Source organism: Homo sapiens, chromosome 7 (assembly GCF_000001405.40).
Source record: "Homo sapiens chromosome 7, GRCh38.p14 Primary Assembly".
NCBI classification, from domain to species: Eukaryota; Metazoa; Chordata; class Mammalia; order Primates; family Hominidae; genus Homo; species Homo sapiens.
Genome location: NC_000007.14, coordinates 34,561,484 through 34,584,471, shown reverse-complemented (window position 1 = coordinate 34,584,471; position 22,988 = coordinate 34,561,484). Strand labels below are relative to the sequence as shown.

The 22,988-nt window shown below is 40.3% G+C and overlaps 1 long non-coding RNA gene across 2 annotated transcripts in view; it reads left to right on the top strand.

Annotated features, from left to right (window-relative positions):
* The window catches only part of NPSR1-AS1 (NPSR1 antisense RNA 1), a 487,820-nt gene that overhangs the window by 249,860 nt on the left and 214,972 nt on the right, over positions 1-22,988 (top strand). The window contains exon 3 of one of the 2 annotated variants that reach the window (NR_033664.1): positions 14,611-14,760. The exons of the other annotated variant lie outside the window; for it this stretch is intronic. This is a non-coding gene — a long non-coding RNA (NPSR1 antisense RNA 1). The remainder of the gene's footprint in view (positions 1-14,610; positions 14,761-22,988) is intronic. 2 annotated transcript variants of the gene reach the window in all.

Here is a 22,988-nt window from a genome sequence, read left to right as displayed (position 1 = left end):
GGAAAGGGCTGTTGCCATCTTTTTTTAAACTATAAACTAAGTTTCTCCCAAAGTTAGTTCAGCCTATGCCCAGGAATGAACAAAGACAGCTCGGATGTTAGAAGCAAGATAAGAGTCGGTTAAGTTAGATCTCTTTCACTGTCTCAGTCATAATTTTGAAAGGCAGTTTCAAATCTTCATGACATTTAAAAGATGAGAAACTAAGACTCCTAAGGATTAATGATTTTCTAGAGCCAGGAGAGTAACATGATCCAACCAGGTCTGTATCGCTGATGTTCTAACTATGGTGTCATGATTTGTACTGTGCATCATAAACTGAGCTTGAAGAGTATCTTAGTCTGTCCTTGCTGCTATAACCAAATACCTTAGACTGGGTAATTTGTAAACAACAGAAACTTGTTTTTCACAGTTCCGGGGACTGGGAAGTCCAAGATCAAAGCACTGGCAGATTCAGTGTCTGAGACTCAATCTTTGCTTCCAGGGTGGCACCTTGTTGTTGCGTCCTCACATAGTAGAAGGGGTGAATGCTGTTTCATTGCAGAGATAAAGGGCAGGAGGGGAAAAGGGACTAAGATTCTTCCTTCAGCCTCTTTTTATAAGACCACTAATCCTATTCATGAGGATGGAGTGCTTATGACTTAATCACTGCCTGAAAGGCCTTGCCTCTGAATACCATAGTATTGGGCATTAGGGTCCAACATATGAATGTTGGAGGTACACATACATGCAAACCATAGCAAAGAGAAATGTTAGATATGCCCATTGATATTGTCTTTAGGGTACAGAGGCAAAGGGGTGAACATCCAGGGCAGAAATCAGAATATGCACAAGTAGAAGACATTAAACTTCAAATCTATTTACTTGTGATTTTCCAGATGTTCTGACCATTTCCTTCCTATATTTACCTTCTCTACTAAGAGAAAGTACAGTTTTGATGTAAGTGAAAATAACAATGATTCAGCTTCTTCATTCTTTCCATCTGCCAAGTGATGTGTCTTGGGGTTTCATTGCTTTTCAGAACCACCTCCACTTACACACACACACACACACACACACACACGTCAAACTTCAATTTTTTTCAAATGCCATTTTCCATGGATTACTAGCACTTTCTGCTTTCCACTGTGTAAGATTGTGGCAAAGTTTTTATTTACCATATGGAGTTTACTCTGCTTAGCTAAAGTTTATTCTGCTTAGCTGAAGGCATTAACTTAAGCTGTATTTTTATGTAGTTTCTTTCCATGGAAATTGATACTGCAATTAATCAGTGACTACACATGAGTCCTCCATCAGGCAATGTTGTAAATTCCAGTTTCTAGGACTTCTGGATGAAATGCTGGATGACTAACTTTCTCCCAACTTTCTCCCATCTTTAGCCTTGCTAACATGGTAAAGTGTGCTGGTTTACAAACTATGTGGAGTAGATCTCTCAAGGTAGCGCTGGGACCAGTCAGTATGCATTAGCATGGGCCTACAGTTGTGACTAATGCATCTCTTTTATTTTTTCCAGAATTTTTATTGTGATAAAATACACATATACGTTACTCTCTTAACTATTTTAAGCATACAATTCAGTGGCACTAAATACATTCATAATGTTGTGCAACCATCACTACCACCCATCTCTGTAACTTTTTACATCTTGTAAGATTAAAACTCTATAGTCATTAAACACTAACTACCCATTCCTCCCTTCCCCAGCCCCTGGCAACCACCATTCTATTTTCTGTTTCTAAAATTTTGACTACTCTAAGTATCTCATATAAGTGGAGTCATACAGTATTTGTGTTTTTGTGCCTGGCTTATCTCAATTAGCATGATGTCCTTATGCTTCATCCATGTTGTAACATGTGTCAGAATTTCCTTTCTTTTTAAGGCTGAATAATATTCCATTTTATGTATTCACCCCATTTTGTTTATCCATTCATCCACTGATGGACCCTTTGGTTGGTACATGTTTTAGCTATTGTGAATAATGCTTTTATGAACATGGTTGTACAAATATTTCTTCGAGACCCTTCTTTCAATTTTGGGGGTATATATCCACAAGTGAAATTGCCGGATCATATGGTAATTATATTTTTAATTTTTTGAGAAACCACCCTACTATTTCCACAGCGGCTGTACCTTTTTACATTCCCACAAACAGAGCACAAATGTTTGAATTTCTCCACATTTTTTTTTTTTTTAGAATTGGCAGAGAGAGACTTTGTTTTTCATTTTTTATTTTTTTGACAAGATCAAATCTGTATTTCTGAAATATGATTACAACAGCATACAGATGAACTGAAGAATAATTTAAATAATCCAGAAGAGAAGTAATGATAATCTGAAGGGCTATAACATAAAGATCTCATTATCACTTTTTGGCATAAGAGGCTGTGTTAGTTTGCTAGGGTGGCAATAACAAATACTGCAAACAGAGTGACTTCAACAAAAGAAACTTATTGTTTCACAATCCTGGAAACTAGAGATCCTAAATCAAGGTGTTGGTAAGGTTGGTTTCTTTTTTTCTTTTTTTTTTTTTATACTTTAAGTTTTAGGGTACATGTGTACAACGTGCGGGTTAGTTACGTATGTATGAGCCATACATATGTATGAGTCAGGTTAGTTACAACATGAGTCATGTTGGTGTGCTGCACCCAGTAACTCGTCATTTAACATTAGGTATATCTCCAAATGCTATCCCTCCCCCGACCCCACAACAGGCCCTGGTGTGTGATGTTCCCCTTCCTGTGTCCGTGTGTTCTCATTGTTCAGTTCCCACCTATGAGTGAGAACATGCAGTGTTTTTTCTGTCCTTGTGATTGTTTGCTGAGAATGATGGTTTCCAGCTTCATCCATGTCCCTACAAAGGACATGAACTCATCATTTTTTATGGCTGCATAGTATTCCATGGTGTATATGTGCCACATTTTCTTAATCCAGTCTATCATTGCTGGACATCTGGGTTGGTTCCAAGTCTTTGCGATTGTGAATAGTGCCACAATAAACATACGTGTGCATGTGTCTTTATAGCAGCTTGATTTATAATCCTTTGGGTATATACCCAGTAATGGGATTGCTGGGTCAAATGGTATTTCTAGTTCTAGATCCCTGAGGATTCACTACGCTGACTTCCACAATGGTTGAACTAATTTACAGTCCCACCAACAGTGTAAAAGTGTTCCTATTTCTCCACATCCTCTCCAGCACCTGTTGTTTCCTGACTTTTTAATGATTGCCATTCTAACTGGTGTGAGATGGTATCTCATTGTGGTTTTGATTTGCATTTCTCTGATGACCAGTGATGATGAGCATTTTTTCATGTGTCTTTTGGCTGCATAAATGTCTTCTTTTGAGAAGTGTCTGTTCATATCCTTTGCCCACTTGTTGATGGGGTTGTCTGTTTTTTTTTCTTGTAAATTTGTTGGAGTTCATTGTAGATTCTGGATATTAGCCCTTTGTCAGATGAGTAGATTGCAAAACTTTTCTCCCATTCTGTAGGTTGCCTGTTCACTCTGATGGTAGTTTCTTTTGCTGTGCAGAAGCTCTTTAGTTTAATTAGATCCCATTTGTCAATTTTGGCTTTTGTTGCCATTGCTTTTGGTGTTTTAGACATGAAGTCCTTGCCCATGCCTATGTCCTGAATGGTATTGCCTAGTTTTTCTTCTAAGGTTTTTATGGTTTTAGCTCTAACATGTAAGTCTTTAATCCATCTTGAACTAATTTTTGTATAAGGTGTAAGGAAGGGATCCAGTTTCAGCTTTCTATATATGGCTAGCCAGTTTTCCCAGCACCATTTATTAAATAGGGAATCCTTTCCCCATTTCTTGTTTTTGTCAGGTTTGTCAAAGATCAGATGGTTGTAGATATGCAGCATTATTTCTGAGGGCTCTGTTCTGTTCCATTGGTCTATATCTGTTTTGGTACCAGTACCATGCTGTTTTGGTTACTGTAGCCTTGTAGTATAGTTTGAAGTCAGGTAGCATGATGCCTCCAGCTTTGTTCCTTTTGCTTAGGATTGACTTGGCAATGCAGGCTCTTTTTTGGTTCCATATGAACTTTAAAGTAGTTTTTTCCAATTCTGTGAAGAAAGGCATTGGTAGCTTGATGGGGATGGCATTGAATCTATAAATTACCTTGGGAAGTATGGTCATTTTCACAATATTGATTCTTCCTACCCATGAGCATAGAATGTTCTTCCATTTCTTTGTATCCTCTTTTATTTCATTTGTAGTTTGTAGTTCTCCTTGAAGAGGTCCTTCACATCCCTTGTAAGTTGGATCCCTAGGTATTTTATTCTCTTTGAAGCAATTGTGAATGGGAGTTCACTCATGATTTGGCTCTCTGTTTGTCTGTTATTGGTGTATAAGAATGCTTGTGATTTTTGCACACTGGTTTTGTATCCTGAGACTTTGCTGAAGTTGCCTATCAGCTTAAGGAGATTTTGGGCTGAGATGATGGGTTTTTCTAGATATACAATCATGTCATCTGCAAACAGGAACAATTTGACTTCCTCTTTTCCTAATTGAATACCATTTATTTCCTTTTTCTGCCTGATTGCCCTGGCCAGAACTTCCGACACTATGTTGAATAGGAGTGGTGAGAGAGGGCATCCTGTCTCATGCCAGTTTTCAAAGGGAATGCTTCCAGTTTTTGCCCATTTAGTATGATATTGGCTGTGGGTTTGTCATAGATAGCTCTTATTATTTTGAGATATGTCCCATCAATACCTTGAGAGTTTTTAGCACGAAGTGTTGTTGAATTTTGTCAAAGGCCTTTTCTGCATCTATTGAGATAATCATATGGTTTTTGTCATTGGTTCTGTTTATATGTTTGATTATGTTTATTGATTTGCATATGTTGAACCAGCCTTGCATCCCAGGGATGAAGCCCACTTGATCATGGTGGATAAGCTTTTTGATGTGCTGCTGGATTCGATTTGCCAGTATTTTATTGAGGATTTTTGCATCAATGTTCATCAGGGATATTGCCCTAAAATTCTCTTTTTCTGTTGTGTCTGTGCCAGGCTTTGGTATCAGGATGATGCTGGCCTCATAAAATGAGTTAGGGAGGATTCCCTCTTTTTCTATTGATTGGAATAGTTTCAGAAGGAATGGTGCCAGTTCCTCCTTGTACCTCTGGTAGAATTCGGCCTTGAATCCATCTGGTCCTGGACTTTTTTTGGTTGGTATGCTATTAATTATTGCCTCAATTTCAGATCCTGTTATTGGTCTATTCAGAGACTCAACTTCTTCCTGGTTTAGTCTTGGGAGGGTGTATGTGTTGAGGAATTTATCCGCTTCTTCTAGATTTTCTAGTTTATTTGTGTAGAGGTGTTTATAGTATTCTCTGATGGTAGTTTGTATTTCTGTGGGATTGGCGGTGATAGCCCTTTTATCATTTTTTATTGTGTCTATTTGATTCTTCTCTCTTTTGTTCTTAGTCTTGCTAATGGTGTATCAATTTTGTTGATCTTTTCAAAAAACCAGCTCCTGGATTCATTGATTTTTTTGAAGGGTTTTTTGTGTCTCTATTTCCTTCAGATCTGCTCTGATCTTAGTTATTTCCTGCCTTCTGCTAGATTTTGAGTGTGTTTGCTCTTGCTTCTCTAGTTCTTTAAATTGTGATGTTAGGGTGTCAATTTTAGATCTTTCCTGCTTTCTTCTGTGGGCATTTAGTGCTATAAATTTCCCTCTACACACTGCTTTGAGTGTGTCCCAGAGATTCTGGTATGTTGTGTCTTTGTTCTCGTTGGTTTCAAAGAACATCTTTATTTCTGCCTTCATTTCGTTATGTACCCAGTAGTCATTCAGGAGCGGGTTGTTCTGTTTCCATGTAGTTGAGCGGTTTTGAGTGAGTTTCTTAATCCTGAGTTCTAGTTTGATTGCACTGTTGTCTGAGAGACAGTTTGTTATAATTTCTGTTCTTTTACATTTGCTGAAGAGTGCTTTACTTCCAAGTATGTGGTGAATTTTGGAATAGGTGTGGTGTGGTGCTGAAAAGAATGTATATTCTGTTGATTTGGAGTGGAGAGTTCTTTAGATGTCTATTAGGTCCGCTTGGTGCATAGCTGAGTTCAATTCCTGGATATCCTTGTTAACTTTCTGTCTTGTTGATCTGTCTAATGTTGACAGTGGGGTGTTAAAGTCTCCCATTATTATTGTGTGGGAGTCTAAGTCTCTTTCTAGGTCTCTAAGGACTTGCTTTATGAATCTGGGTGCTCCTGTATTGGGTGCGTATCTATGTAGGATAGTTAGCTCTTCTTGTTGAATTGATCCCTTTACCATTATGTAATGGCCTTCTTTGTCTCTTTTGATCTTTGTTGGTTTAAAGTCTGTTTTAACAGAGACAAGGATTGCAACACCTGCCTTGTTTTGTTTTCCATTTGCTTAGTAGATCTTCCTCCATCCCTTTATTTTGAGCCTATGTGTGTCTCTGCACATGAGATGGGTTTCCTGAATACAGCACACTGATGAGTCTTGAGTCTTTATCCAGTGTGCCAATCTGTGTCTTTTAATTGGAGCATTTAGCCCATTTACATTTAAGGTTAATATTTTTATGTGTGAATTTGATCCTGTCATTATGATGTTAGCTGGTTATTTTGCTCGTTAGTTGACGCAGTTTCTTCCTAGCCTCGATGGTCTTTACAATTTGGCATGTTTTTGCAGTGGCTGGTACCGGTTGTTCCTTTCCATGTTTAGTGCTTCCTTCAGGAGCTCTTTTAGGGCAGGCCTGGTGGTGACAAAATCTCTCAGCATTTGCTTGTCTCTAAAGGATTTTATTTCTCCTTCACTTATGAAGCTTAGTTTGGCTGGATATGAAATTCTGGGTTGAAAATTCTTTTCTTTAAGAATGTTGAATATTGGCCCCCACTCTCTTCTGGCTTGTAGAGTTTCTGCCGAGAGATCAGCTGTTAGTCTGATGGGCTTCCCTTTGTGGGTAACCCGACCTTTCTCTCTGGCTGCCCTTAACATTTTTTCCTTCATTTCAACTTTGGTGAATCTGACAATTATGTGTCTTGGAGTTGCTCTTCTGGAGGAGTATCTTTGTGGCGTTCTCTGTATTTCCTGAATTTGAATGTTTGCCTGCGTTGCTAGATTGGGGAAGTTCTCCTGTATAATATCCTGCAAAGTGTTTTCCAAATTGGTTCCATTCTCCCCGTCATTTTCAGGTACACCAATCAGACGTAGATTTGGTCTTTTCACATAGTCCCATATTTCTTGGAAGCTTTGTTCATTTCTTTTTATTCTTTTTTCTCTAAACTTCTCTTCTCACTTCATTTCATTCATTTGATCTTCCATCACTGATACCCTTTCTTCCAGTTGATCAAATCGGCTACTGAGGCTTGTGCATTTTTCACATAGTTCTGGTGCTTTGGTTTTCAGCTCCATCAGGTCCTTTAAGGACTTCTCTTCATTGGTTATTCTAGTTAGCCATTAGTCTAATATTTTTTCAATGTTTTTAACTTCTTTGCCATGGGTTCGAACTTCCTCCTTTAGCTCGGAGTAGTTTGATCGTCTGAAGCCTTCTTCTCTGAACTCGTCAAAGTCATTCTCCATCCTGCTTTGTTCCGTTGCTGATGAGGAGCTGCGTTCCTTTGGAGGAGGAGAGGCACTCTAATTTTTAGAGTTTCCAGTTTTTCTGCTCCGTTTTTTCCCCATCTTTGTGGTTTTATCTACCTTTGGTCTTGGTGATGGTGACGTACAGATGGGGTTTTGGTGTGGATGTCCTTTCTGTTGGTTAGTTTTCCTTCTAACAGTCAGGATCCTCAGCTGCAGATCTGTTGGAGTTTGCTGGAGGTCCACTCCAGACCCTGTTTGCCTGGGTATCAGCAGCGGAGGCTGCAGAACAGCAGATATTGGTGAACAGCAAATGTTGCTGCCTGATCATTCCTCTGGAAGTTTTGTCTCAGATAAGTACCTGGCCGTGTGAGGTGTCAGTCTGCTCCAACTGGGGGGTGCCTCCCAGTTAGGCTACTCGGGGTTCAGGGAGCCACTTGAGGAGGAAGTCTGTCCGTTCTCAGATCTCCAGCTGCGTGCTGGGAGAACCACTACTCTCTTCAAAGCTGTCAGACAGGGACATTTAAGTCTGCAGAGGATTCTGCTGCCTTTTGTTTGGCAATGCCCTGCCCCCAGAGGTGGAGTCTACAGAGGCAAGCAGGCCTCCTTGAGCTGCAGTGGGCTCCACCTAGTTCAAGCTTCCTGTCCGCTTTGTTTAGCTACTCAAGCCTCGGCAATGGCAGGCACCCCTCCCTCAGACTGACTGCCACCTTGCAGTTTGATCTCAGACTGCTGTGCTAGCAATGAGCAAGGCTCCATGGGCATAGGACCCTCCGAGCCAGGCATGGGATATAATCTCCTGGTTTGCCATTTGCTAAGACAGTTGGAAAAGCGCAGTATTAGGGTGGGAGTGACCCGATTTTCCAGGTGCCATCTGTCACCCCTTTCTTTGACTAGGGAAGGGAATTCCCTGACCCCTTGTGCTTCCCGGGTGAGGCAATGCCTTGCCCTGCTTTGGCTTATGCTTGGTGCACTGCACCCACTGTCCTGCACCCACTTTCCGACACTCCCCAGTGAGATGAACCCAGTACCTCAGCTGGAAATGCAGAAATCACCCGTCTTCTGCATCGCTCATGCTGGGAGCTGTAGACTGGAGTTGTTCCTATTCGGCCGTCTTGGCTCCATCCCCCAAATTTCTCCACATTCTTGCCAACAATTGTCATTCTCTGTTTTTTTCAATAGTAGCCATCCTTATGGTTGCAAGGTACTATCTCATTGTAGTTTTGATTTTCATTTCCCTAAAGATTATTGATGTTAAGCATCTTTTCATGCACTTATTGGCCATTTGTATGGCAACCAACAGGTGAGTCTCTGGGCCCCACATCTGCTTTGAATTTATCCTCTTTATATATTGCCTTCCTCATAATATATAATTAGCAGGAAGAGCCCAATGGCTAAAAATACTTTGAACCGGTAGTGTGTGAGTGAAGACTGCAGTGTTGAGTCACAGATCAGCATAGAGTTTCTGTCAAAAACAAGCAATGTCTCCTTAGGAAAATTACTTAATTTTCTGAGGCTTCATTTCGTGATTTACAAAAAGAAAGAGGTTTGACTAGGTAATCTTCAAATTTTTTCTCTTGCTATAACTTTGTGTGATTCACCAAGGCTAATTGAAAATCACTTAATGTCAGCAGCACAAGCTGTAATTAAAATAAAGATGTAGACAGCAACATGAGAAGGGAATGTCAGTGGTAGCAGATGTCAGGAAGGAAGCACAATACATTAACACAGTTGGCTCATTTTACAGGTGAGAAAACACAACCATGTGACCAGGGTGGCCAAATCACCCCTTGAAATATTATTGGACTTTGTCTAAATTTTCCATGTTGACTAGGAATTCAAACAGAGGAAAGGCTTGATGCTGTTGATTTAGAAAGAATCGTAGAACACAATAAGGTAGAAAATTTGGTAGGTGCTCCTTTGATCTCCGAGTGAAATCATGACAATTGCTCACCTTGATTTGCTGCATAATTTCCTGTGGGCAAACCCACAGAATTCCTGGAATTTTGTCCTTGGATGATTAGACAGGTCTGAGAAGCTCAAGAGCTTTCTTCATTAAGATCAGGAGAAATAAACGGTAAAATCTAAGTATATTAGGGTAGAATTTTAGAAAACATAGTGAGACCTGAGTTTCCATATTTGCTTCATATTAGGGCAGAAAGCCTACTTTTTGAGAATTTCTACCTTTCTATCTGCCTCTATGTTTTTTTAATTGCCGGAAAGAAGAATTGCAGAGTGCCAGAGGTACAGGTGTGAACTTTTAGTCTTTCAAAAGCCAATTAAATATCCCCATTAAGATGACCAGCCACCATAAGGTAATATATACATTATTAATTAAAGGAGAATGAGGCAGGGTACAGTGGCTCACACCTGTAATCCCAGCACTTTGGGAGGCCAAGCTGGGCAGATCACTTGAGGTCAGGAGTTCGAGACCAGCCTAGCCAATATAGCAAAACCTCATCTCTACTAAAAATACAAAAATTAGTCCCCCAGGTGTGGTGGTCCACACCTGTAGTCCCAGCTACTTGGGAGGCTGAGGCAGGAGAATTGCTTAAAACCGGGAAGCAGAGGTTGCAGTGAGCTATCGTGCCACTGCCCTCCAGACTGGGCGACAGAGTGAGACTCCATCTCAAAAAAAAAATAAATAAATAAAATAAAATAAAATATAAAGGAGAATGAGTCGAAATGTATCTGACCCAAATATGTCAACATCCCTAGTTCTTCCAGACCGACATTTTCATAGATCTCTATGGAACGCTACATGAAGGGTAGACACTGGCCAAACAACAGGCTCCTCTGAGTGCAAATCAAGAACTCAGACTGTCTTGTGTAAAACAAGAGACAGCTCTTTGGAAACTCTGTGATTTGGTCCTTTCTTTTCATCTGAGTGCTTTTGGGAGGGGAAAAAATTGCTTCATATTAGTTGCATAGATCTCATTGATCTCACTTCCATGCAGTGATTTTTCATTTTTATGACTGAAAATTATTGAAGTTCCCCCGTGGCCCAAAGGCTGAGGAGGTGGTCCTCAGACAGCCAAGAGCAGACTGGGGTAAACAATGCCCTGCCAATTAATGAGTCCTGCCTCATTACTTTGTGTAAAGTTTCTCAGGTGGGCAGTTACCTCGTTAATTTCATTTTAGCAGAATGAGAGTTAAGAGACCTTGATGCAAGTGCACTGCTCCCTTCAATCATTTAGTCAGAATAGCTTTCAATTTGCAGGGAGTTGCATAAGGAAAAGGAGGAAGATTGAACTTCTTAAATTTTTTGAAGGCAACATACATTTTATAGACATCATATTGTGGAATAAAGAAAGTTGTCAAATGAGGGGTTTCTTAATAAAGTTGCTTTGCCTGTTATTTTGTTTAGTCTTTTCTCTTGACCAAATTTCTCTTTGCTTCTAAGAAGAGATAAGAGTAGAGGACTGGAAGGAAGAGGGAGTGAGGGGTCAGAAGACCTAGGCTTGAATACCTATCTCAACCTCCAAATCCTACTCTCAAACAGGGGGAATGGGTGATATTTTCCATTACCTCACAAAGTTATGTTGAGACTCAAATGAAATAATGTCAGGAACAGCAGTGTTTAAGATGATTTTTTAACATTCACAATTATAACTTGTTTTTCTTAAGGAGAAGTTTGAAGCTCTTCTCCCCCTTTCCCCACCCAAGAGAAATAGGAGTTCATATGAGGGTGTCAGGGTTAAGAACATTTTATTGCTCAGTGAGAGTGCATGGAATCTCACTGCCTGGTGAAAAGCTGAGCTCTTTTCTGGAGTTCCTCAGTTTCACTTGGCAAGAGTTAAACCCCAGGAAAGCCAGCTCAGCATTCCGTTTCTATCTCTTTGCAGATGCTTGGGTACCACTTAGACCACAGGCACTGAGACACTCCTAGAATTTGAGTGCTGACAATAGCAAAGACTTGGAACCAACCCAAATGTCCAACAATGATAGACTGGATTAAGAAAATATGGCACATATACACCATGGAATACTATGCAGCCATAAAAAATGATGAGTTCATGTCCTTTGTAGGGACATGGATGAAGCTGGAAACCATCATTCTCAGCCAACTATCGCGAGGACAAAAAACCAAACACCGCAAGGACAAAAAACCAAACACCACATGTTCTCACTCATAGGTGGGAATTGAACAATGAGAACACTTGGACACAGGAAGGGGAACATCACGCACCGAGGCCTGTTGTGGGGTGGGGGGAGTGGGGAGGGGATAGCATTAGGAGATATACCTAAAGTAAATGACGAGTTAATGGGTGCAGCACACCAACATGGCACATGTATACATATGTAACAAACCTGCTCGTTGTGCACATGTACCTAGAACTTAAAGTATAATAACTATATATATAAAGAAAAAAAAAGAACTTGAGTGCTGAATTTTTCATGGCCAATGTTTACTAGTATGTATATCTCTACCATTCTAGTGGATCATTGCATTCTCAAATAGGAAGGTACTTGAAAGTTTAGGTGCATAAAGGCTAAAAATTCAATACAAATCATTCTTAAGAACAAAATCAATTTCTTTGTAGTACCATGAATTTTGGCAGATTAGGGGGTTCACACTAACTGGTATTAGAATCAGTAAACCCTTCCCTTGCAACTGCCTTAAGAAAGTCAGAGACTACACACACTATAGAGAAAGGATTCAAAGAAACCTGATGAAAGGTAAATTAATAGAGCGTTGACCTTGAGCCATTTACTGCAGATAATCTCTTTCTGCAGCCCACCCTGTCAATCCCCCACCCATATCCCCTTGTCTACCTGAGCTCTGTACTGTCGGAGGGTATTTTCTGTCTGCAGGAGTGTGTACTGCAGCTCACCTACCCCGATTGCACAGCAAGTTGGAAGTGCCAGATAGAGTCCTAGGAATGACTTTCAGCAAAAGAGTAATGCGAATTGGTATCAGTAATTGAAGAATCTAGGTGGCAGGTGTACAATGTAAAATTCCTGACACTTTTCTAAATGTTTGAAAATTTTCATAATAACATGTTGAGTGAGATGGTGTTATAAAATGCATGCATGGGAAAATATTCAACATATGTTGATCGATAAAAGTGAATGAAAGTTACAAAACAGTACACACTATGATCACAATATTGTATATATAAAATGTGTGTATATATATATACACATATACACTGAGTGTCTATATATATATAGTGAATGTGTGTATGTAGACACTCATTAAATAGAGAGACATGTAGATGGATAGGTTTGTACATGCCACTTTCAGTACCCTTACTTATATTAGATACAATATTTTTGGAAGGAAACACAACAAAAAGATAGCAATTGTTGGCTATGGGTAATGACCATACAGATAATTTTAAAATAAACTTCATATTACTTCTCTGTACCTTCTAAATATTCTATAATGTGTTTATTTATATAGTCAGATTTAAAATATTATTTAGTAATTGTGTTTTGAACAGTGTTTAGTGATGGGGAAAACCAAGTTATACATGGTTGTTGTTCTTTGGTACAATTACAGTTGAAAGCCATATATGTTATGTTGGAAGGTTTTACGATCTTTTTATTGCTGGTAACTGAGGGGAAAGAGATAAAAGTGTGTTAGAAGTTAAATCACAAAGGTAATAATGCTTGTCTCTAAGATGTACTTTTAGGGGGATTTTTTTTTTTTAATTCTAAAGCTTTTTGTTTGTCTTGATTTTCTACAAAAACACTTATTATTTTTACCATCAAACAAAATATTTCATTTTAAAGGGAGAAGGCCTAAGTTTTTATTTCAGGCCCAACAGCATTTGTATCTATGCTTCTCATAGGACTGTCATGAGTCAAATGAAATTATAAATGAGAAAACACTCTTTTACAAATGTAGAAATGTAGAAATTATTATATAATATGTTATTATAGCACATTAAGTTAATTTTTTTTACAGCTTTTCAAACTACAGAGGTTATTTTAAGCATTAAGAATATGAGGCTCTTTTTACAAATAAATCTTCAGGCTCTACTGATTCATCTTTCATGGGACTCATTTTTCATTGAATAGCCAGAGCATAACAAGCTTCATATATCATTAAGTGAAGAGCAGTAAGAATCCATAGCAGGGGAGAATTTTATTAAAGCTGTGCATGCCAGCGCTCTCTTTCTTTTCACACTCAGAGCCTAGAACAATATTAATTAATGGAAACACATCCAACATTAGGTAAACACGAAATTGGTAAGCAGAGGCAACTGTGAGGAACCTTTATATCCCATGGAGTATGTGACGGTTTACCTACCATCAGTTCTTTCCCTCTCTGTACCCACATGCCAGTCCTTGGTTGAGCCAAGGAGTCTATTCTTCCACCAGCTTGGATCTGGGCTGGCCTGATTGCTTGGGCCAGTAGAATACAATAGAAGTGTTAGAGGTGTTTGAACCAGATCGACTCCATCTTGAATAGGAACTGATTAAAATGAGGCCGAGACCCGCTGGGTTGCTTTCCCAGGAGGTTAAGCATTCTTACTCACAAGATTAGATAGGAGGTCAGTAAGACTGGTATCACAAGATACAGATTATAAAGACCCTGCTGGTAAAATAGGATGTAGTAAAGAAGCTGGCCAAAACCCACCAAAACCAAGATGACCACAAAAGTGACTTCTGGTCTTCTTAGCTGCTCATTACACGCTAATTATGATGCATTATTATGCTAAAACACACTCCCACCAGGGCCATGACAGTTCACAACTGCGATGGTAACATCCAGAAGTTACCCTTTATACTATAAAAAGGGGAGGAACCCTCAGTTCTGCAAATTCTTCACTCCTTTCCTGGAAATCTCATGAATAATCCACCCCTTATTTAGCAAATGATCAAAAAATAATCATAAAAGTAGCTTGCCAGCATCCCTTGGGGCTGCTCTGCTTATGGAGTAGCCATTTTTTGTTCCTTTACTTTTTTAATAAACTTGATTTCACTTTAATCTATGGACTTGCCCTGAATTATTTCTTGGATGAGAATCTAAGAACCCTTTCTTGGGGTCTGGATTGGGACCCCTTTCTGGTAACAGAAGTGATGTTGTGCTGATTTTGCTGCTATCCTTTCGCAGGACTGGCAACGCCTGCTTCCTCCTCTGAGCTGTCAAGTAGGAAGTCCGGGCTGCTCTGCTAGAAAGAGAAGTCATGTGCAGGAGCACTGAGGCATCCCAGGTGTGACACTCTTCCACCTAGAGCATTCCGTCTCTCATCCTCTGCCATGTGTAAGTCTTCTGCCTTAGCTGGAAAACTGTGAGGTCATCCTGCTATGTTAGTGACCAGGTTGGCAATTTTAATTTCTGTTTCCAGAGGAGCATTGAATGGAGTGGATGGATCAGGATGCTCCTTTGGCACTAGCTCTGAGCTGCATTCTCCTATCAGCTTTGTCAGTAATCGAGCCCTTGAATTCATTTATCTATGCTGTCTGATTTCTTAACCTAGAGATGGGAGTGGAGAAGAGGTTTGATTCATTATCATCCCCTCAAACATCAACACTTGAGGATTTTCCTTTATCTACGTAAATAGGAATATTGCCGGGATAAATTCTAGCGTGAATCTCTTGTCACTGATTTTATCTGCACTGTAGGAAGCCATTTCAATTACACACCCATGTCTCCAGGTCAGCTGAGCATTCTGATACAATTTGCCCCAGCCATACAAGTGTAATGGGCTCCGAAGCTTTAGCTTGTAGGCAAAACACACATACATTTTATCTTTAATATTAATGTAAAAACTGCTGTGCTTCTATTAATGAAAAAGAAAGTTCCAGCTTTCAGCTGTTAATATCAATGAGTATTGATAATTATACACTGTAGATAATTACAATCGCTATCATTGTGCATTAATATTTTTTAAATTTCCTGAAGTAATAGGGATTTTGACAATAGTGGTAATATTGGTGCTTGCCAATTTGTTCATTTTTATTTATTTACATATTTATGTATTTATTTTGGGGTCCGTGTAAGTTGCAAGTGGTGGTTGAAATGTATCAGGAAGCCAATTCTGTAATAAAATATTGTTATAGATAAAACTCTAACCCTACAAATTGAAAAATACATGAGCAATACTTTATGTGACATGGCCTTGAGCTGACTGCAACCAGCTTCAATGAGGTAAGTATAGAAAAAAGTCTGGCTCTGTATAGCAAAGGTGGGTGGTTTATAAATATGTGGGCATACTGTGTGAAAACTGATAAACAGAGTTACTCATATCTGTCCTCCCTAGCCATCAACTTTCTTATTGTTTAAATCTCTGTTCATTTCCTGAATACTGTCGGACACTACCCCATTTGTCTCTCCATCACTACCTGTAATCCCTGCTTTTCTGTGCTTGTTACATAAAGGTCATAGCTTCATGAGCTCTTTAGACAGATACTGATGATTATGTTGAAAGTACTTTGAGAACTAGTAATGTGCTACCCCAAATAGTCATTGTTTTGTGTGTGTTATCCCATAGCATGCATTAGGAATTGGTGTTTTAGAATGGGCATGCAAATTGTACAAGATGCTGCAGTTATTACTAAATGATACTGGAATGCAAAACTTTGTTTCTCTGATTCTGAAGGCCATGTTTTGAACCACTAGATTAGAGGGTCAAGCAATTTCTTGGAATTTTACTCTGAATTCTACGTAGACCATTTTCATGTGTATACCTCCTCTGAGTCACCCTCAGGTAGGGACATTTTGTTTTCCATTCAACTGATAGAAATTCTAATAGGCTTAATAGATGTTTTTTCTTTTCTCTTCTGCAGACAGCATACATTCCTTGCTCCCATTATCCGTTTACATTTAATCTGCCCAACATAAATTACTTCCATTTTCACTTCCTCTTTTTCACTTCTCATCTTTATCATAAAAGAGGTTCCTGAGCCTGCCAACTGCTATTTCCCTCCTCTGTCCATAGCCTTCCCATTGCTTACTCTCCTCCCTGCATATTCCTTCCCAATGGCATGCAAACAATCCTCTGATACTCAAATCAAAAGCAAAAACAAGAACAAACAAATAAGCACAATAACTCCTTCTACCTATGTTTCCTCTGCCTGTTCTACTTCTCCTCCTTTCACAACCAACCCCCTGAAAAAGGTTTTGAAATATTCTGTCTCCATATCCTCATGCAACATCCACTCCTGAACCTATGGCAATGTGGGTTAGTCCCTGCTTCCCCTCTCTGGCCACCCCATGGACATGGCTCTCATTTGTTGAATCCCACAGGCACCTTTTTGTACATGGCTCATTTGGGCTTCAGCACTGACTCTATTTTCAACTCACTCTTGGAAAGACACTTTCCTTGTCCCCCTTCCTTGTGCAAAACATCCTTGTGGTTTCCTTATGCTTCTTTAGACTCATTTTCTAGTCTCCTTAGCAGGCTCTTTTGTCTCTCAAATGTTTACATACCCTCTTTCTTTAGTGCCTTTTCTCCTTTGCTTTCTCTGGACTTGTTTTGAATACACCCCCACTTTCTGTTTATATCACTAGGACCCTACATTCCAGTGACAGCATTCAACCTAGTCTTTGCTTTTGGTCTTGCCCTAGTGGTCATTCTGAATGCAAACCTTATCATGCCACTTTCCTCCTTAAAACCCTTTAAAGGTTTTCTTGTGCATGTGGATGAAATTCAAATTACTTTCCAGTGTTAAAACTTTTGAGCTTGGCCAAATTAATGTTGATATACAGAGTTGTAAACTAAAATTCCGGCAGGGTGGCAGGGTCCTGTGGAGAGGATTCCTTATTGGTGTTTTTTACGGATTGAACCTGTAATGCATGTTCCTATTGTTATGAATTTTAGGACGCTGGGCTTCTTTAACAAATTAATCCCAAGTGCAAGACATTTATTTCTTCTGTACCTAATGACCTGAGGTGGGTATTACTTTTTGACAGGAAGGTCTCCTTTATTTGGGATTCAGGGAGCCCCCGCCAAGGGCCTCATCATTTTTGGCATCCAACTGACAGAAAGTTTAAGGGAGCCTGGGGGAGGCACCCATGAATTCCACTTCCTACTCTTCGTGTAACTATTCACACGACTGTGATCATCTCTAGATGGAACGGGGTTGGAAAATGTCATTCCTGGGTGGAAAGCCACTTCCCATGGATAACCCTGCACTAACAAAGAGAAATCTGTCCACAGCAATCCTTCTCTGCTGAACCTGGTAGTGTCATCTTTAGAAGTGAAGACACAATTAACACATGGTCATTTCTTCATTATATCGTTGTTACTAAAAAAGAAAAAAGTTAAAAATAATTGCCGAGAGCTCGATATGTGTAACAGGTAGGTAAAGCAGTGATTAGGGTGGGCATGATTCTTACTCTTTTGGAGGTCTGGGCAGAATGCTGTGGAAATACGGTGAGGGCATAATGCATGCAGTGATAGCAAGGGACACGATGTGTGAGCTTATGTTTGATCACTTTCACTCTCAGGGGCGAGGCTATGTAATTTACTTTGTCATTCCGCACTCAACATCAAATAATATTTTGGCTGATCCTGCTGCTCCCATTTTATATTAGGTAATTGAAAGACTGAAACTTTTTCTTAAAGAGAAACATGTCATTCTCTAAACAGAGCTCATTCAGTATTGTCGATTGAGATTGTAGGAACCTTGTATACTCTGCTTTCTGAGGAATTTCACTGGAACTCTGACTCCAGCCAGCATGAAGCTCTCAAACCATGAAATAAGTCTAAACTCTACTGAGAATTTTCTCTCCTTCACAACAATTGCTTCTGAATAGAGATAAGCCTTCAAAATTTTCCTTGGATATATTTATCAACAGGGAACTGCCCCTAAAAATGTTTCTCCCACAATCTTGCATTCTGAGACAACGGAACATTAGTATTTAATAATTACCACTGGTAACCTGAAAATGCAAATTCACTTCTTACCACAAAATCAGAGTTAATCACTAAAATTATGCCTACCTCGGAAAACCATTTGAGCAGACACCTACACAGGAGATGCAAAAGGCTTGTGTGATGTTGGGCAGGTTACTTGCTATAGTTTGAATATTTGACCCTCCAGATCTCACGTTGAAATTTGATCCCCAGTGTTGGAGGAGGGGCCTAATTTTGGTCATGAGGGTGGCTCCCTCATGAATGTGTTGGTGCCATCCTTGAGGTAAGAATGAGTTCTTGCTCTGTTGGTTCTTGCAAGAAGTGGTTGTTAAAAGGAGCCTGGAACCTCTCCACCCCTCTCACTTCCCCCCATGCCATGTGATCTCTGTAAATGCTGGCTCCCCTTCACCTTCCGTCAGGATTAGAAGCAGCCGAGATCTTCACCAGATGCAGGTGCTGGTGCCATGCTTCTTGTGCAGCCTGCGGAACCATCCACCAAATAAACCTATTTTTAAAATAAATAACCCAGCCTTAGGTATTCCTTTATAGCAACACTAATGAAGTAAGACATTACTCAACCTCAGTGTGTGTATATATAAATTGGTGCTAATAATTGCTACATCACAAGCTTGTCATGAGGATTAACCAAGATATCCTCTAGGAAAGCACCTTGCACAGAAGAGATGCCCCAGTAAAGGTTAATTTCTTTCCTTCATTCCTTTTCTTTTTTCCTCACTCTCTCCTTTCTTTCTTCCCTTCCTCCCCTTTTCACTCTCACTTCCCCCCTCCTCCCATCCCTTAATGGTAGAGCTGGAGTCTGCAGGAGAGGACCATTGAGATTTAGAGAGGGGAAACTGACTCTGAAAAGTCAGAGGCCAGTGCAAAGGAGGACAATAGGGAGAGGAATGGGACTGAAAGCAAAAGGTAAATAATGAAAAAAAAATAGATTCTGCAGTAAGACAGTGTCATAGATTGCATACTTCCTACAATCAGCCAGAAACTCTTTCTGGCCAAGTCAGAAAGCATGTTAGTACCTAGAGAGAAAGAACAGAACAGGATCTCCCCGCTAGCCCATCCTCAGCTGCCTGTCATCCACCTTTTTCCACAGCCCTTTGTAAAGGCTTCTTGTTTGGAAAGTTCTTTATCTTCTACTTTGCGTGTGCCTCTCAACCTCCTATGTATTTTTCAATGCTCAGCTTAACGATGCCTTAGGTTGTGGGATTTATTTTTGCAAGTATCCCCCCCCAGCATCCTGCTAAACTTCTGATATGCATTTACTAGTTCAGTTCAGGTCCAAAAGAATTTGTTGTGTCTCCCATGTTCCACGTATGAGGCCAGGGGATGGGTGTGAAATAGTCTCACTCCCAAAGCTATGCCAGTAGGGGAAGAGGTTCCCAAAACCCAGTCCCTACTGGACATACTGCATCAGAATACCTGGGGAATGTTTGTTAAAATGTATATTTCTAGGCCCTACTCCCAAGAATTCAGATAAGGCTGAGGCTTAAGTATCTGTGATGTAAGAAGTTCTCCCAGCTAATTTTGATGGGCAGCAACGTTTAGGAACTTAAGTAGTAAAATCAAAATAAACAATTTGAGAATATTGTCTATGATGAGGTTTGGATTGATGGCATTCTGTGTTGCCAACTACGGACTGGTCCAACAATGTCTGAGGACAATTAGGTGAGTTTACATTTTATTCCATTGTCTTAAATCTTCCATTCCATTTAAGGCACTGACATTTCTTCTGGTGCAGGTTTGTCATGCAGAGAAGGCAGATGGGCAAGCCACTGTCATTTGACACGCATGCCAATAGCCTTGGTGAAAAGGACATGTGGACTTTCGACTTCTTTTGGCTTCTGCTCTGATGCCTGGAGTCTAGCTGGCTCACCACCATGACACAGGGGTTGCCACCGAAGACTCAAGCTGTAGGCGGCAGCCTTCTTCTGCGTTCTGTCTGTGGCAACTTTTCTGCTGCATGTGTCTCATTTTTCTTGTTCTCATTCTCTCTGTCTTGGAATCCCGGCTTCATACCCCAGGCCACGACTTCTGATGTTCCTCCCCTTCTTTCCCTGGCTCATCATTGTCCTTCGCTCACTCTGCCCTTGACTGTGTGCAGCCCTGTTCTGGGTGAGACTCCTTCTTCCAGGCAGGTAGACACAGTCTCCTGTGCAGACAAAACCCACTCCCATCACTACCAGAGGAGGGGGCTTTCTGCCCACCCAGCCCTTCCCTGTAATTCTGCAAAGGCAGTTCTGTCCTGAGTAACTTGTGGCTTTCATGGGAAGCTAAGAAGACGTGCCTTGAGGATCCTTTCGTGTCTCTGCAGAGAGCAGTATTCTTTAACGGGCTCCCTGAGGAGCACAGAGTACTTGCAAGCCAGTGAACAGGAATGAGAAAATTTCCAAGAGAATTGTCCATGGCTGCATTAAAAGTGATTTCTGTTCCTTTGGGGAGATAGATGCCACTCCAGATGAAGTGGGGTTGAAAACTCTGCTCTCTAAGATCCTGAAGTTGAAATACTTCTTCCTGGGGTAAATCTGAAAGTCTAAAGTTTCAGATTTATGAGAAGGTTTATGAAACAGAACAAATACAAAAGCAAAAACCATTTTCCTGAGAGATTTAATGGAAATTGTTTAAATAATAACTGGAAGAGAATACCAGGATCACAGAACATTAAAAAGAGAGCATCGTTAGAAGGTCAAGCATCTGCAGGAGGCAAAGACTGCCACATCTCTTTGAAACACACAGAGGAAGAAGGCTTTATAACCAGGGCTAGGTGGCCTTGGGTCATGCCCGTTGGACAATTCTAGAGCAACCACGATGGGTACGTGGGTTCAGCCCGACCTCTTATTTCTAGGGGGACTTGTCATCCCTTTCTTTCCATCTTATTGTCTGTGCTTCCAAGTCGTTCTGAGAGAGAAAGAATTTGAGAAAGAAAAACTGATAGAAACATTGGCAACTGTCTAAATTTTCTGGGGTTCCCATAACAAATTACCACAAACTGGGTGGCTTAAAACAGTATACATTTATTCTTTCCCAGTTTGGGATACCAGAAGTCCAAAATCAAAGTGTCAGCAGGATGGCACGGCCTCTGAAGGCTCTAGGGGAGAAGCATTCCTTTCCTCTTTCAGCTTGTGGGGGCTCCAGACATTCCTTGGCTTGTAGCAGCATCGTTCTCATACCTGTTTTCATCTTTGCATGACCTTCTCCATATGTTCTCTTCTTCCCTTCTAAGGATACTTGACATAGCATTTGGGGCTTGCTCTAACTTAAGATTATCTCATCTTGTGATCCTTAACTTAATTACATCTGCAAAGACCCTTTTTCCAAATCAGGCCACATTCACATGTTGTAGAGGACGTGTCTTTTGGAGAACTACCATTCAACCCACCACAGCAGGCTGTGAGAAAATGCCCTCTATGATAACATTTAAATGAAACCCGAGCTCTGTTTCTTGAATGGTGCAGCTCAGAAGTTGACTCCGAGTACCATTGCTGGTCTGAGTTGTCTTCTGTCATTGATTCAAGGGTCACTTGCCCCCTTCCTCACAGCTGTTCAAGCACACTGGCCCTCTCTCAGGTCCCTGAATTCACCAAATCCCTTACCTTGAAGTCTTTGCACTTTCCTCAAGGAAATCCCTGAACAGCACCCTTTTTGCACAGCTCACTTCTCACCCTGGAGTTCTCATCTGTAATGATTACCTCTTCCCAGACAGAACTTCCCTGACCAAGCTGGTATTATTATTGTTTTTAATCATAAGCGGTTTTCTTTAAAGCACTGACTCCAATTTTTCAATTATTTAGATGATCAGTCTCCCCCATGCCCAATAATTTGAAGTGTCAAGTGGACAAGGAACGAGTTTACCCTGTTTACCGGGCACATCTAACACCAGGCACGGTATCAGGTTCTCGAAAAATGATAGCCAAAAAGTAATGGACTTAAGGTAATGAGTGAATGAGCACATAATGTTTGTGACATCATTTCCCTTTCCTGTTTGCACTTCTTTCATCTTTTCCTGGACTTGGCTTTTCCAAGTGACTATCTAAAACCTTATTCCTATCTTCATCTAATCATTGTTAGGATGATAACTGATGAGGCCCTCATGCTTGTGCTCCTAAATAGTTTACGGTTGTATCTCTCTTCTATTGTAATTGAGATTGAAACAACTAAGCAGGTATTTCTGTTGCACCAAGTATGTTGGCTGTAGTGTTTTGTCGTCATGACAGTTCTCTCCAAGGATGGGCATCAGGAATCAGAGGGAGAGGGGGTCATGGCCCCAAGGGCAAATGCCAAGCCTGTGAGGTATAGCAGTGAACGTGGTAAGCAGCCAGCCTCATGCTTCTAATTGGCTTCTGAATTTTCCCTGCTTAAATGATAGCACCCAAGGTAGCCTTAAGCTCTTATACATTTCTCCAGCTTTGGTGAATATTCCTTTATTAGAACTTTCTTTATTGTCTTTATAGAAATGATATATTCTCATTGTAAAAATCCAAGCATTAAAAAAGTATGAAGATGAGAATTTTTAAAAAATTCACCCAAACCCCATCACTGAGAAATATAATGGACATTAGATAAGCATGATTTTAGGCAATTCTCTGGTACCACATAGAGATATACCTTCCTTAGCATA